General features: G+C 40.7%; 1 protein-coding gene across 6 annotated transcripts in view; it reads left to right on the forward strand.

Annotated features, from left to right (window-relative positions):
- PSMF1 (proteasome inhibitor subunit 1) overlaps positions 1 to 15,519 on the forward strand; it is a 58,984-nt gene that overhangs the window by 20,310 nt on the left and 23,155 nt on the right. For all 6 annotated transcript variants that reach the window (NM_178578.4, NM_001323407.2, NM_001323409.2 and 3 more), the window contains one exon: positions 1,549 to 1,734. In NM_178578.4, coding sequence (NP_848693.2) covers positions 1,549 to 1,734 — 186 coding nt within the window. The remainder of the gene's footprint in view (positions 1 to 1,548; positions 1,735 to 15,519) is intronic.

Consider the following 15,519-nt stretch of genomic DNA (forward strand, 5'->3'; position numbering starts at 1 on the left):
TTTTTTTTTTTTTGGTGTAGTCTTTGCCTGGTTTTGATACCAGAGTAATACTGGTCTCATGAAATGGATTGGAACGTATTCCCTCCTCATATATTTTCTAGAAGTGACTGTAAAATTGGTGTTAATTCTTCTTTGAATGTTTGGTAGAATTCTTCCTGAAATCATCTGAGCCTGGAGATTTTTGGTTTTTGTTTTTTTATTTTATTTTTTTAGAATGTTAAGTGTAATTCAGTTTCTTTAATGGAACTATTCAGATTATCTATTTCATTTTGGCTGAGTTGTAGTTTATGGTTTTTAAGAATTGGTCTATTCTGAGTTGTTGGATTAAGTTGTTCTTAGTATTCTCTTATTATCCTTTCAGTGGCTACAGATCTATTGTAATATCTCCTGTTTCGTTCTTGTTATTGGTGACTGTGTCCTCTCTTTGTATTTGTCAGTCTCGCCAGGAGTTGGTCAGTTTTATTCTTTTTTTTTGAAGAATTGACTTTGTTTCATTTTCTCTCTTGTTTTTCTTTTTTATTGACTTCTGTTCTTACCTTTATTACTTCTGCTTGCTTTGAGTTAATTTGCTCTTCTTTTTCTAGGTTCTTTAGGTCAGAATTTTGGTTATTGATTTGAATTCCTTCCTCTATTTTGATGTAAGCATTTAGTGCTATGAGGTTTCTTCTCAGCAATCCTTTAGTTATATCCCACATATTTTCGTATGTTTTTATTTTCATTTTAATTCAGTGCTATATATTTCTTTTTTGTGACTTTGATCCAAGGATTTTCTAGAAGTATGTTGCTTAATTTTCATGTATTTAGAGAGTTAACTTTTTGTTTTGATTTCTGTTATGATTCCATATGGTTGGAGAACATACTTTATATGATTTCAGTTATTTTACATTTGTGAGCTTTGCTTTATGGGCCAGGATGTGGTTCATTTTAAAATACCAGTGTTTTAGGAAGCCTGGAGTCCTGCCCACTCTGTTACCTCAGCCTGCCTCCACACCTCAGCTGTGGCTCACGTCACTTGTCTCTCACAGGCATAGAAAAAGAGGCCCAGGCAGGATGGGACAGGTGGTAGGGGCAGCCTTCCGAGGACCCCTGAGTTAGTGACAGAACTGGACCTTGAACCCCCAGAGCTCTGCCTGCCTGGAACAGGAACCTGGTTCATCCTCCCCATGGAGCCTTTGCCTTCCATGACCCTTCCCATGACACGTGATGAACACACAATGAAGCTGAGGGAGGGGTGAGGCGGGTGAGGACAGAGGAGTAGCCAATCCAGGCCCTGTGCCCCTACACCCTCACCTCTTTCTAATGGGGTGGTAAACAAGGAGGGGCAACTCAGATGCCTAAGAAGCTTGGGCCCAAATCTCAGAGACAGCGTGGGGCTGTTGCCCCCCTCACCCAGGTCCAGCAGGCGGCCTGTTCCCCCACTTATAAACAGGCCAAGCGCAATGCCAGGAGCTATCAGGGCCGCCGCCGCCGCCGTCGTTGCAGCCAGAATACCACTTCCAGGGTTCCTAGCCAACTGCAAGCAGTTGACTCTTCATCTGCTTCCTGCAGGACCTACAAGAACAGTGAGGAGCTTCGGTCTCGTATTGTGTCTGGAATCATCACACCTATCCATGAGCAGTGGGAAAAGGCTAATGTAAGCAGTCCCCACCGGGAGTTCCCCCCTGCTACCGCCAGAGAGGTGGACCCACTCCGGATTCCTCCACACCACCCACACACCAGTCGGCAGCCTCCCTGGTGAGTACAGAGTGCCTAGCGGGAAGCCCATGCTTCTGTAGAGGGATTCCAGCCAGCTATCCCCATCCTGCCACTTGACCCCATCCCTGGCCCGTATGTGTTTTCAACAAAATGATCAGTGTCTTGGGGTGCATGGAGTTAGAAAGTGGAGACGTAAGTGGAGCAGTGAGTTCTTGAACTGCTACTAGTCACCCTAATTACCCAAAATCCTAAGCCTGCCTGATTTCTTTCTAGGGGCCACACAGAGCCCCTGAGTCTGTCCAAGGATCAGTGCCTCTGGGGCTTATGTGCAGTAGTCTAAGGTTGCTGCCCAGGTAATTCACAGCTAATTCATTCCAGAGCTTTTTGTCTAGACAGGGCCCTGGGCCAGTCTTTCTGAGAAAATGTAAACATGTAGAGGTACTAGCCCAGAGGAGATGCAGTCCCAGTGTCTTGCCCATTTCATTTCATTGTAGTCCCCCAATCTCACTATCAAGTTCAGAAGTTTTCCAAAATAGCATGGGATGTGAGTGAGTCACATTCCAAGGTTTTTGCAGATTAGGATGGCAGCATTAGGACTGGAGACTTCTGCTCAGAGGGAGGAGACAAGGACCAGGGGACCCTAGTCTCTAGCTGAGACAGCACTTCTCAGTTTGGAGCCCGTACTGTGATACCATACTGTTGGTAGGGATAAGGGACAGAGTTCACTGTGAGGGACATGAATAAGCACTTAATAAATGTAGACTACCATTGTTATTTTATTCTGGTTTGCAATTATATGCCTTTAGTTAGCTAAAAATGGGAAATCAGTTTAATTATTCCAAGTAATGATTGGCGTATCTCTTTGGCAAAATCTTTACCAAAAATATTGAGTCCTGTGAAGAGAATGGAGAATAAGAAAAAGTGGTTGAAAAGGTTGAAAATGGCTTGTCTGATATATCTTATTTTACCAAAGGGAATAGAGATAAGATGACCTGCCTGAGTTCGCCAGCCACTAATAAAGAGGCAGAGCCAGGGCTGGGGTCTAGGTGTCCTTACTCCCTGCACAGTGCTCTGGCTGTGATGTAAACAGATGTGATCTAACCACCTTTCCATGGTGGAAAGATTTAAGAATAAGCCCTGGTCAGAAGTCAAGTTGGGAAAAAATTTTAGACCTAAAGTAAATAGTAATTCTCAGCTTTATTAGACCCAATGCCCATTTCAAAACAAGTATTCTGTGAAATATCCCTTACTATATTGAAATGGAATTCATAGGTATTCTAACTTACCTCATGCACATTTCAGAGGAAATCAGTATAAAGTCCTAACTATAACATAAATTAGAAAAAGAGAGTAATTGATAAGATGATGATGTGTATTCCATGCGTAGGTGCCTGAGTACACTGGAGAGCATGGATGTTTACACCTGTATGTGGAATTATCTTGAATTCAACAGTGACAAAGGCTGTTGTATATAGATGTATTATGTCAACAACTCAAATACCACAAAACTCTGTTGCTGTTACTAACATGACTTTTTTGAAATGGTAAACAGCTGTTAGGAGAATTGCAAACAAAATAGTGATTGAATATTGTTTCTTCAGTTATACCATAGTTACATTCCTGGAAAAATGTGCTTGTTTTAAAGTAGTAGAAAAAAATACTTAGTGTTCATATATAAAATGGCCTTACATTCAGATAATTTATTTAGGCTTTACACCTCCATGAGTATCTAACAAGACATTTGAAAATTGTGTGGGATGCAGGTCATTCTTCATTTCGTGAAACTCTACTATGAATTGTAGAACATCCAGCATCTCTGGTCTCTGCCTGTAAATGCCAAGAACGCCCTCCAACTACTATGACAAGCAAAAATGACCCCAGGGCTTGCACTATGGCACCTGGAGGCTATGCTTCCCTATTTGGGAATCATAGACGTAGAGTATAGAATTGTGAAAGTAAAAATCCTAGCCTTGGAAGAACTGAGAGAATGAGAAAATCACCATGTTGCAACTTCTGCTGAAATAATGTACCTAGTCACAAATTGTCAATGGTTGATAAAACTATTAAGTAAAGGTCGATAGGGGACTTTATATTAGGTGGATCTGGCGAGTAGCATCTGAACCCATTGGTTAATCTTAACGCTAAAAGTGGGATAGCCAGATACTGTTTTCTAATATTATGCAATAGTAAGTTCACAGCAACCTCAATCTAGATCTAACTCCCAGTTTAAAAATATGAAGGACAGAAGAATGAGTCAAACAGGTGCATGAGGATACAACATCCAAAATTGGAATATGGAAAAATTATATAGGATAAATTGACCTTGTTTTTTCAACAAATAAATTAATCGCATGGGGAGAAAAGGGAGAAAAGGAGGCTCTTGTGGAAAGAGTCATACCAACTAAAATGCAGTGTTGGACCTTGTTTGGATCTTGATTCAAACTAATTCAAAAAATTATTTTTCAAACATTTGGGGAAATTTGAGCATTGACCAGGTATTAGATAGCATTATGAATTACTGCCAGTTTTGTTAGGTGAAATAATTCTGCTTATGTTAAAAAAAGTCTTTATCTGTTAGAGATATACATTGAAGTATTTAAAGGTGAATGATATGTCTGGGATTTACTTTAAAATAATTTCAGCCCCCGCCAAAAGAGTAAGGTGTTGGGGAGGGGAAGTATAAGTAAAATAAGAATGGTGGACTATTGATAATTATTGAAGTTAGGCGGGAATACACACAGGAACTCATGATACTATTCTTACTATTTTTTGGTATGTTAAAAAATTTCCTTAATAAGGAGTTTTTATTAATACCAGTTCTTCACATAGTCCTCCAAAAAATAGAAGAGGAGGGAATACTTCCCAGCTTCTTCTGTGAAGCTAGTATTATCCTGATAACCAGTACCAAAGACATGACAAGAAAACTACAAGCCAGTATCCTTTATGAATACAGATATGAAAACCCTTAACAAAGTACTAACAAACCAAATCCAGCAACATATACAAAGGATTATATAACATGACCAAGTGAAATTGATTCCAGGAATGATTGATTTAACATCTGAAAATAAATCAGTGTTAAGATACCATATCAATAGAACAAAGGAGGCCAGGCGCCCGGTGGCTCATGCCTGTAATCCCTGCATTTGGGAGGCTGAGGCACAGGAATCGCTTGAACCCGGGAGGTGGAGGTTGTAGGGAGCTGAGATGGCGCCACTGCACTCCAGCCTGGGCAACAGAGACTGCATCTCAAAAAAAAAAAAAAAAAATACAACAAAGGATAAAAACTACATGTTCATCTCGATAGAAAAATAGCATTTGACAAAGTCTGACACCCTTTCATGACAGGAGCATTCAGTTAGCCTGGGAAATATAGTGAGACCCTGTCTTTACAAAAAAAATTAAAAATTAGCCAGGCTTGATGGCATATACCTATAGTCCCAGCTACTTAGGGTGCTGAGGTGAAAGGGTCACTTCAACCTGGGAGGTCAAGGCTGCAGTGAGCTGTCATCACACCACTGCACTCCAGCCTGGGCAACAAAGTGAGACCCTGTCTCAAAAACAAACAAAAAAAAACAAAACCAAACAAAAGCAAATAAAAAAACAACAAATTCAGCAATAGGAGGGGCCAGGCATGGTGGTTCACCCCTGTAATCCCAGCACTTTGGGAGGCCAAGGCAGGTGGATTATTTGAGGTCGGGAGTTCAAGATCAGCCTGGCCAACATGGTGAAACCCTGTCTCTACTAAAAATATATAAATAATCTGGGCATGGTTGTGCATGCCTGTAATCCCAGCTACTCGGTAGGCTGAGGCAGAATCGCTTGAACCTGGGAGGTGGAGGTTGCAGTGAGCCGAGATCACGCCACTGCACTCTAGCCTGGACAACAGAGCGAGACTGTGTCAGAAAACACACATACGAAAAGAACAACAACAAAAAACAACAATAGAAGGGAATTTTCTAAAGCCAATAAAGAGCATCTACAAAAAGCTCACAGCTGACATTCTCCTTAATGGAGAAAGATGGAGTGTTTTCCTCTTAAGATCCGGAACAAGGCAAGCATGTTTGCTTTTGTTTTTGCCACTTTTATATAACATTGTACTTGATATTCTAGCCAGGGCAATCACTCAAGAAAAATAAGGGGTATCCAGATTAGAAAGTAGGAAGTAAAAATACCTCTATTTGTCAATGACGTGATATCTTGTATACAGAAAATCCTAAGGAATCCTCCGAAAAACAGAACTAAGCAAGTTCAGCAATGTGGCAGGATATAAAATTGATATCCTGGCTAACACGGTGAAACCCCGTCTCTACTAAAAATACAAAAAATTAGCTGGGTGTGGTGGCAGGTGCTTGTAGTCCCAGCTACTCAGGAGGCTGAGGCAGGAGAACGGCGTGAACCCGGGAGGCAGAGCTTGCAGTGAGCTGAGATTGCACCACTGCACTCCAGCCTGGGCAACAGAGCGAGACTCCATCTCAAAAAAAAAAAAACGATAAAAATCAGTTGTATTTCTGTACATTAGCAATGAACAATCTAAAAATTAATGAAATTATCCCATTTATAACAACCCCCAAAAGAATATAATACGTAAAAATAAATTTAACAAAAGAAGAATTGTGAAAGATTTGGGAAAGAATTGTGTAAGATTTGTACAGTGAAAACTGTAAAACATTGTTGAAAGAAATTAAAGATTTAAGTAAAGGAAAGACATTCTGTGCTCACGGCTAGGAAGAATTAATATTAGCCATACTCCCCACTTGATCTACCTATTCAGTGCGATCCCAGTGAAAATCCCAGCAGGTTTTGGGTTTTTCCCCCCCAGAAATTGGCAAGCTGATCCTAAAATTCAGGTAGAAATGCAAGGGAACCAGAATGGCTAAAACAATCTCAAAGAAAAACAAAGTTGAAAGACTTCCAGATCCCTATTTCAAAACTTATTACAAAGCTTCAATCATCAGGACCGTGTGGCACTGGCATTAGGATAAACATATAGAGCAAGGAAATAGAATTGAGAGTCTAGAAATTAACCCATACATTCATAGGGAATTGATTTCAGCAAGGTTGCCAAGACAATTTAGTAGAGAAACCATAGTCTTTTCAAATGGTGCTGGGACAATTGGATATCTACATGCAAAAGAATGAAGTTGGGTCCCTTCCTCGATTACCTCTAAATGAATCACACACCTGAGTGTAAGAGCTTGAACTATAAAATTTCTAGACCTAGAAATAAGTCTACCTTGGGTAGTCTTATTCCCTGACCTTCAGTTAGACTGTGGTTTCTTAGACACAATACCTGGGAGGTTAAAAGCACAAGCAGCGAGAAAAAATAGACAAATCAAACTTTGTCAAAATTAAAATATTTTGTGCATAAAAGGATAGTATCAAGAAACTGAAAAGATAACCCAAAGAATGGGAGAGAATATTTGCAAATCAGATATCTGACAAGAAGCTTGTATCCAGAATATATAAAGAGCTCTTACGACTGAACAATACAAAAGAAAACTCAATTTTAAAATGTTCAAAGGATTTGAGTAGATATTTCTCCAAGGAGGATGTACAGATAGTCCATGAGCACAAGAAAAGGTGTGCAACAACATTGGTCATTAGGGAAATGGAAATCCAAACCAAGAAATAGTATTATTTGCAATAGCCAAAAAGTAAGAACAACCTAAATGTCTATCATTTGATGAATAGCAAATATGATATATGCTTACAACTGAATATGGATATTACAGCAATAAAAATGAAGGATTTGTTATAATGTGGATGAACCTTTAAAACATCACGTTAAGTGAAAGAAGCCAGTCATAAAAGACTATATATGATTTATTTATGTGAAATGTCCAGAATAGGCAACTTTATAGAGATAGAAAGCAGATTAATGGTTGCCAGGGTGGAGGTGGAAGATGGGAAAGCAGGAATGAGGAGAGACTGCTAATGGGTACCAGGTTTCTTTTTGGGGTGAAGAAAATGTTCTGAAATTAGAACATTTGCATATTCTGTGAACATCTAAAAACCATGCGTTATACATGTTAGCTGGTTGAATTTTATAAGTGAAATGTATCTCAATAAAGCTATAAAAAATGGGTATTTTACAAAAGTCCTAGACTTGGGTTAATTGGAAACATGAATATATAATGATAGAAATTATTTCCTTCAGATCAAACCATAGTCCAAGAGAATTGATAATAACTGCCCATGACTGGGGCTTTTTTTTTCTTTTTAATATTTTTTCTTCAGCTGAAGAGTGGTTTGTTAGTACCTAAACAATATTTTAAGGACTCATCATCATACCAGCAAACGTGATTTATTTAAAATTAGCTACTGAATGCCTTCCCCCTAAGGAAGAAGGCAAGGATAACCGCTCTGACCACTCTTATTCAGCATAATACTAGAAGTTTTAGCCCGCACATTAAAACAAGAAAAAGAATTATCATACAGATAAGGAAGGAAGAAATAAACCAGTTTATATATGCAGATGACATAATGATCTACATAGAAAATCCCAAGGAATCTACCAAAAATAATAATAAAAATAAGTTTGACCAGGTTGCCAGATACCAGATTAACATACAAAAGTTAATTGTATTTTTATATACTAGCAATAAACACGTGGAACGAAATTTAAAATACAGTACTGTTTATAGTTGTTCAACAACTACTCAGATAGGCTGGGCACAATGGCTCACGCCTGTAATCCCAGCACTTTGGAGGCCGAAGAGGGCAGATTACCTGAGGTCAGGAGTTCGAGACCAGCCTGGCCAACCAACATGGTGAAACCCCGTCTCTACTAAAAATAGAAAAATTAGCCAGGTGTGGTGGCGCACGCCTGTAATCCCAGCTACTCGGGAGGCTGAGGTGGGAGAATTGCTTGAACCCAGGAGGCAGAGGTTGCAGTGAGCTGAGATCGCGCCACACCACTGCACTCCAGCCTGAACGACAGAGCGAGACTCCTTCCCAAAACAAAACAAAACAAAAACTAAAATAACTCAGCTATAATTCTTTTTTTTTTATTGTTATACTTCAAGTTTTAGGGTACACGTGCACAACGTGCAGGTTAGTTACATATGTATACATGTGCCATGTTGGTGTGCTGCACCCATTAACTCATCATTCAACATTAGGTATTTCTCCTAATGCTATCCCTCCCTCCTCCCCCCACCCCACAACAGGCCCCGGTGTGTGATGTTCCCCTTCCTGTGTCCAAGTGTTCTCATTGTTCAATTCCCACCTATGAGTGAGAACATGCAGTGTTTGGTTTTTTGCCCTTGCAATAGTTTGCTGAGAATGGTGGTTTCCAGCTTCATCCATGTCCCTACAAAGGACGTGAACTCATCATTTTTTATGGCTACATAGTACTCCATGGTGTATATGTGCCACATTTTCTTAATCCAGTCTATCATTGTTGGACATTTGGGTTGGTTCCGAGTCTTTGCTATTGTGAATAGTGCCGCAATAAACATATATGTGCATGTGTCTTTATAGCAGCATGTTTTATAATCCTTTGGGTATATACCCAGTAATGGGATGGCTGGGTCAAATGGTATTTCTAGTTCTAGATCCCTGAGGAATCGCCACACTGACTTCCACAATGGTTGAACTAGTTTACAGTCCCACCAACAGTGTAAAAGTGTTCCTATTTCTCCACATCCTCTCCAGCAGGTATAATTCTAACAAAACTTGTATAAGATTTTTATACTGAAAACTACAAAATGCTAGTGAAAGAAATCAAAGAAGATCTAAATAAATGGAGAGACATAACATATTCATGGATTAAAAAATCAGCATAGTAAAAATGTCAGATACTCCACAAATTGATACACTATTTTAATGCAATTCCTATCAAAAATCCCAACAAGAATTTCTGCAGATATAGCAAGATACAGCAGATAATATTTATATGGAAAGGCAAAGAATCTAAGATAGCTATAACAATTTTTTAAAAGAATAAAGTAGAAGAAATCATTCTACCCAATATTAGGGCTAATTATATAGCTAAAGTAATCAAGATGGTGGAATTGGCAGAGGGACAGACATATAGATAAGTAGAACAGAATAGTGAACACAGAACTAAGACCAGCCAACTTTTGACAAGGGTGCAAAAACAAGTCAATGGAGGAAAGAATGTCTTTCAGTAGATGATGCTGGAGCAATTGGATAATCACAAGCAAAAATATGACCCTTGACCTTAACCTTCTATAAAAATGACCTCAAAGTGGATCATTGATTTAAATGTAACATACAATACCACAGCACTCCTAGAAGAAAACACAAGAGGAAATCTTCAGTGTCTCAGGCTTGGTGAAGAGTTCTTAGATACAGCACTAAATGCACAGTGTTTAAAAAGATGCTAAATTGGACTTCATTGAAATTTAAAACTTTTGCTCTGTGAAAGACCCTGTTAAGAGGATAGAAGCATAACCTACAGTTTGGGAGGCAATGCTTGGAAACCATATATTCAACAAAGGATTCATATCTAGATAAAGAACTCTCAAAATCAACAGCTTAAGAAACTATCCAATTAGAAAATGGAAAAATGAAGGCCAGGCATGGTGGCTCATGCCTGTAATCCCAGTACTTTGGGAAGCTGAGGTGGTTGGATCACCTGAGGCCAGGAATTCGAGATCAGCCTGGCCAACATGGTGAAACCGTGTCTCTTCAAAAATACTAAAATTAGCGGGTGTGGTGGTGCATGCCTGTAGTCCCAGCTACTCGGGAGGCTGAGGCAGAGGATCACTTGAACCCGGGAGGCGGAGGTTGCAGTGAGCCGAGATGGCACCACTGCTCTCCAGCCTGGGTGACAGAGCAAGACTCCGTCCCCCCCAAAAAAAGAAAAAAATGGAAAAATGATATGAAGAGGTAGTACACTGAGAAGGATGTACAGATGGCAAAGAAGCAATGAAAAGATGCTCAGCATTGTTAGCCATTAAGCTAGGTGAAATGCAAATGAAACCACAATGGGAGTTTCACACCTATTAGAATAGCCAAAATTAAAAATAGTGATGATACTAAATTCTAGAGAGAGTGCAGAAAAACTGGATCATGTACACTGCTGGTGGGCATGTCAAATGTTACAGCTACTCTGGAAAATCATTTGGCAGTTTCTTAAAAAACTAAACGTGTACATAATAGTTAGCTCCAGGAATCACACTCCTGAACATTTATCTCAGAAAAATGAAAATTGTGCCCACAGAAAAACCTGTACACAGATGTTCAGAAGAGTTTTATTTGTAATAGCCAAAAGCTGGAAATAATCTGATGTGCCTCCTCCAGTGATGAATAGTTAAAGGAACCGTGGTTTATCCATACTGTGGAATACCACTCGGCAGCATAAAGGAATGAATTGTTGAAACACAGCAATTTGGTTAATCAGAGTTATTATGCTGAGTGAAAGAAGCCATTCCCAAAAGGTCACATATTGTGTGATTCCACTTACATAACATTTTTAAAATGACACAGTTATAGAGGCGCTAAACAGATTAGTGGTTGCCAGGGGTTATGAGGGCAGGGCTGTAGGTGTGGTTATTAAGGGGAGTAGCATGAGAGAGATCTTTGTGGTGGTTTAACTATTAGAGGAAACTGAGTGAAGTATATTGGAACCTCTTGTGCTGTTTTTCCAACCCCCGTGAATCTTTTTTTTTCTTTTTAGACAGAGTCACCCAGTGTGGAGTGCAGTGGTGCGATCTCGGCTCACTGCAGCCTCCGCCTCCCGGGTTCAAGCAACTCTTCTGCCTCAGCTTTCTGAGTAGCTGGGATTACAGATGCCTGCCACCACACCCAGCTCATTTTTGTATTTTTAGTAGAGACGAGGTTTCACCATGTCGGGCAGGCTGGTCTCAAAATCCTGCCCTCAAGTGATCTGCCCACCTCAGCCTCTCAAAGGGCTGGGATCATAGGCATAAGCCCCTGTTCCTGGGCCCCTGTGAATCTTTAATTATTTAACAATAAAAGGGTTTTTAAAATTTAGATGCTGAAGAGCCACTTAGATTCTTAAGTCCATGGTATTTATTCAGTTCTGTGTAGGGGGACAGTGGATCTAGCCCTGAGTGTTTCATAAAGGCCAGTGAGGCCTTTTGTCCTGCTCGCTCATACCTAGTCAGGGATGAGCAATGGACTGGGAGCACATAGGAAAAGGAATCTGAGCCTTACCTGAAGGCTTCCCCAAGGAAGGGACTGACCACTAAGCAGGCTCCTAAAGAATAAGGAGGAGATGTTAGCCAGACAGAGAGTAGGGCAGAAAGGGCATCTTAGCCTGAAAGCCTGTCCTGTGCAGAGCCCTGGAAGGACAGGCAGTGGAGCTAGAGCCAGGCAGGGGTCGTTAAGTGGGTTGCTGAGACCAGGTCAAGCTTCCCCACTTAGGGTAAGGGAAAGGATACAATACTCCTTATCAGGGTAGAAAATTACCAAGAAGTGATGTGGGCCTCAGTTCAGTGAATCTTTACTAAGTGAAGGCTCTGAGTCTTTGGTCTGAGGAGGCTTTGGGGAACATGTGGATATTCTACTAGGCCCAGAAAATGAGAAGGATACCAGCCAAGCACTGGACTGCTGCAGGTCCAGCAAGTCCTGCCCCAACCTGGTTTTGGTTGGCAGAAACCTCTGGTCCTCTATCTCTGGAGTTTACCCCACTTCTGACAGTACCACCACTCAGTTATTTTTGTCTGATGCCAAGATTACTGGCTTTTTTCAAGCGCATATTTTCTTTGCTCTGTGTTTTCACCCATTGCTTGGACCTGTGCATTGTACATTTTTGGTGAGTCCTCTATTCAGCAAATGTTTTTCTCTGTGGGTTCAGGGATCCTAGGGTTGGGCCCCTGCTTTAGAGGCATGCACTTCCCCTGTGGCATGGGAAATAGGTGAGTTAGAGAGATAATTGCTGTTACAGAGGTTAGCACAGAGATACTTCATGAGTATCCTGGGAAAGGCTACTTGGAAGTGCTGCCTGAGTTGTGTCTTCACCGGAAAGGGAATTATTTCTTAAACTCTCTTTCTGCCTTTTCATGTGTCTGAATTACTACGTAACAGATTTTTTTTTTTTTTTAGGGAGAAGGTTGTTCCAGGCTGAGGAAACAGTAGGTTAGAGGCATCAAGGTCTAAAAACATGGGGCTGTCCCTGAACTTTAGCTGGACAAAAATGATTTGTCTGGAATCCTAGCATATACCAGCTGTGGAGGGTGGGGCCAGATTTGGGGAAGCCCCTGATGTGAAGTACACGAATCTCCCTGTGGACAGTTGGAAACCACTGAAGGATTCTGAGGGCAACAGTGCCTTTGGCTAAAGAGCCTGGTGGGTTGGAGAGGATCAGGCAGAAGATTGAGCTTGTCCCTCCTCCATATCGCTCTGAAGGAAGGACTTGGTTCCCTTCCTTCCCTGCCCCACCTCTCCCCCCACGTCAAGGAGAGTATTTTGCGGCAATTAGGAACACAGGCTTTGAAGAATGATCAGCTGGGTTCATACCCTGAGCTTACACCTTTCCCTGTCTCAGCACATTTAGCCTCTTGAAGCCTCAGTTTTCTGATCTGCACCTTGGGAATAATTATAGCTGTGTCAAAGGTTTTGTAGGATTGAATGTGATCGTGGATATCACATGTTGACATTCAGTAAATATTCAGTGGTCTAGTAACTGGTCACTGGAAAAAAATATTCAGTGGATGCCCATTCAGGTAGCTGGCAAAGATGAGAACAAATGTGAAGGTGTAATGAGTAGAGGGTCTCTCAAGAGAGAACCTTGTTTTATTTTTTTTAAATACCTACCATCTTCCCCCCAAAACAGATTTGATGGAGGATTAGGTGTGAGAGTGTCAGCCCAGAGCGGGTGTTGGGCAAGTATTTAGGCCCAGGCCCAGGTCCATTATGGACATTGTTTCCGTTATCATCATCATCATCATCATCATCATCATCATCATCATCATCACCACCCTGTGTTGAGGACAGAAGTAATTTCCCTTTCTTGGCTGTTCACCATGCGTTGGCCTGTGAACCGAGTGTGTTAATTTATGGTTGCTTATCTTCTGGACAGCCCTACAAGAAGATCAGTGGCATCCCCACTTTACAGGGGAAGAGACAGTGGCTGAGGGAGGTAACGTAGCTTCTCAGCGTTATCTCGCTGGGAGGGTGAGCACTGGGATTTACCCCGAAGTGGGTCTAACTCAGCAGCTTATGCTTTTCCCACTGCACCTGTCAGCGTTAGTTCATGTAATAAGCAATGTGGTGTACAAATTCAATGTAGTGTAGACTGATTATGGAGAAGCCCATCCCCTTTCTCCTCCTCAATTAAGTCTTTCTGAGGCAGATCTATTTCACAAGAGTAAGGCACTGAACTGGAGAGATGGTTGGAAGAGGAGGCAGAATGTTTAGGAGGCTTTTTCTTAGCCTCTAGCAAATTGACAGCCTATCAGATCTCCCCTCTGTAATCACCTCACCTGCCTCTGCCCCCACTCCCTGCTTATTCCTTGGCCAGCCCCATTTGTCCATGAGCTCAGATAGCTGTGTTGACCCTGATTTCTTTACTATAGCTCCCATCACCACCACTTTGCTCAGCAACCAGGCACTCACACTTCCACCTTTTCCTTTCTCCCTGAAATGCCCAGTTTTGGGGGGAGGCCACAGCAGGAAGGAGGCAAAAAGCAGCACAGAAGCTGGCCTCTCTGGCTGCTGCAGAGTATTAATTATCCCATCACTGAACACCCTTGGCTGGCGCTCGGAGCAGAAATATCAGCCTCTGCTCCTTCCCATAGGACACAGTCCAGTGTCTCACCCCTCACCTTAAACACTCTTGTTTTGCCTCTCTCACACCTGGAAATTTCCAAATACAAACTAAAGTTGGAATTGTCTGCCCTAGAGCGTAAAGAGACTTGTTTCCCTGTGTGTGTAGTGATGTATGGCTGCAGCTTGTCAAAAGATTCTGGGTCTGCTGTGATACTGGGTGCGTCTAGGCTAGGAGTATAGCTAGAGAGGACATTCCATTGTAGTGGAAGATTGGAGGTGGGCAGGTCTTTTCTACTCCTGAGAAGTCTAGGAAAGAATTACTGAAAACAACCATCTGTAAGGAAAATATTTTTTTATCCAGCCTAACTTTTCATTATCATTATAAGTCTAACCTATTTCCTTTTGCTTCATCTGTCCTCTGATAGTCAGGAGACTGTATGCCCCAAATCCTGCTCCATGTTTTGTAAAAAACAGTTTTTTCTATGCTTAACCAGCTTCTCTAAAAATAAATCTTTAGATATAAAGCTCTTATTTATGTCATTCTGAATTCATTTTTAATCCCAACCAATCTGTATCTTTACATATTTTTAAATGTTCCAAATAGTTTGCATTTTGCATTTTCTTTTTAAATTTCATAATCCATTTACTAAAGTGCCAAACATAACTCTTTTAGTATCTGATATTTCATTTTGCTAGTATGCTATGGTTTATATAACTTCTATGGGGTATGTCAAGCATTTCTAATTTGTGATTAATACAGCTATGAACATCCCTGTGTATTAGGTTTTTTTTTCTTTTACTTCCTTGAGTTATATTACTTACACTGGAGGACCTCAAACTTTATGTTCTCAGGAACCCTCTAGCACTCTCAAAAATTATTGAGGACCCCAGAGAGCTCTTATATGGGTTATATGTAGCAATATTTACTGCATTAGCAGTTACAAATGATATTTTCAAAATACACATTTATTCATTCATTTAAAAATAAGCCCATTATGTGTTAATATAAATAACAAATTCCTGTGAAAATATCTCTTCAAAACAAAAAATTTAGTGAGAAGAGTAACATTCTTTTACATTTTGCAAATCTCTTTAATGTCTGGCTTAATGGAAGACAAC

Source organism: Homo sapiens, chromosome 20, assembly GCF_000001405.40.
Source record: "Homo sapiens chromosome 20, GRCh38.p14 Primary Assembly".
NCBI classification, from domain to species: Eukaryota; Metazoa; Chordata; class Mammalia; order Primates; family Hominidae; genus Homo; species Homo sapiens.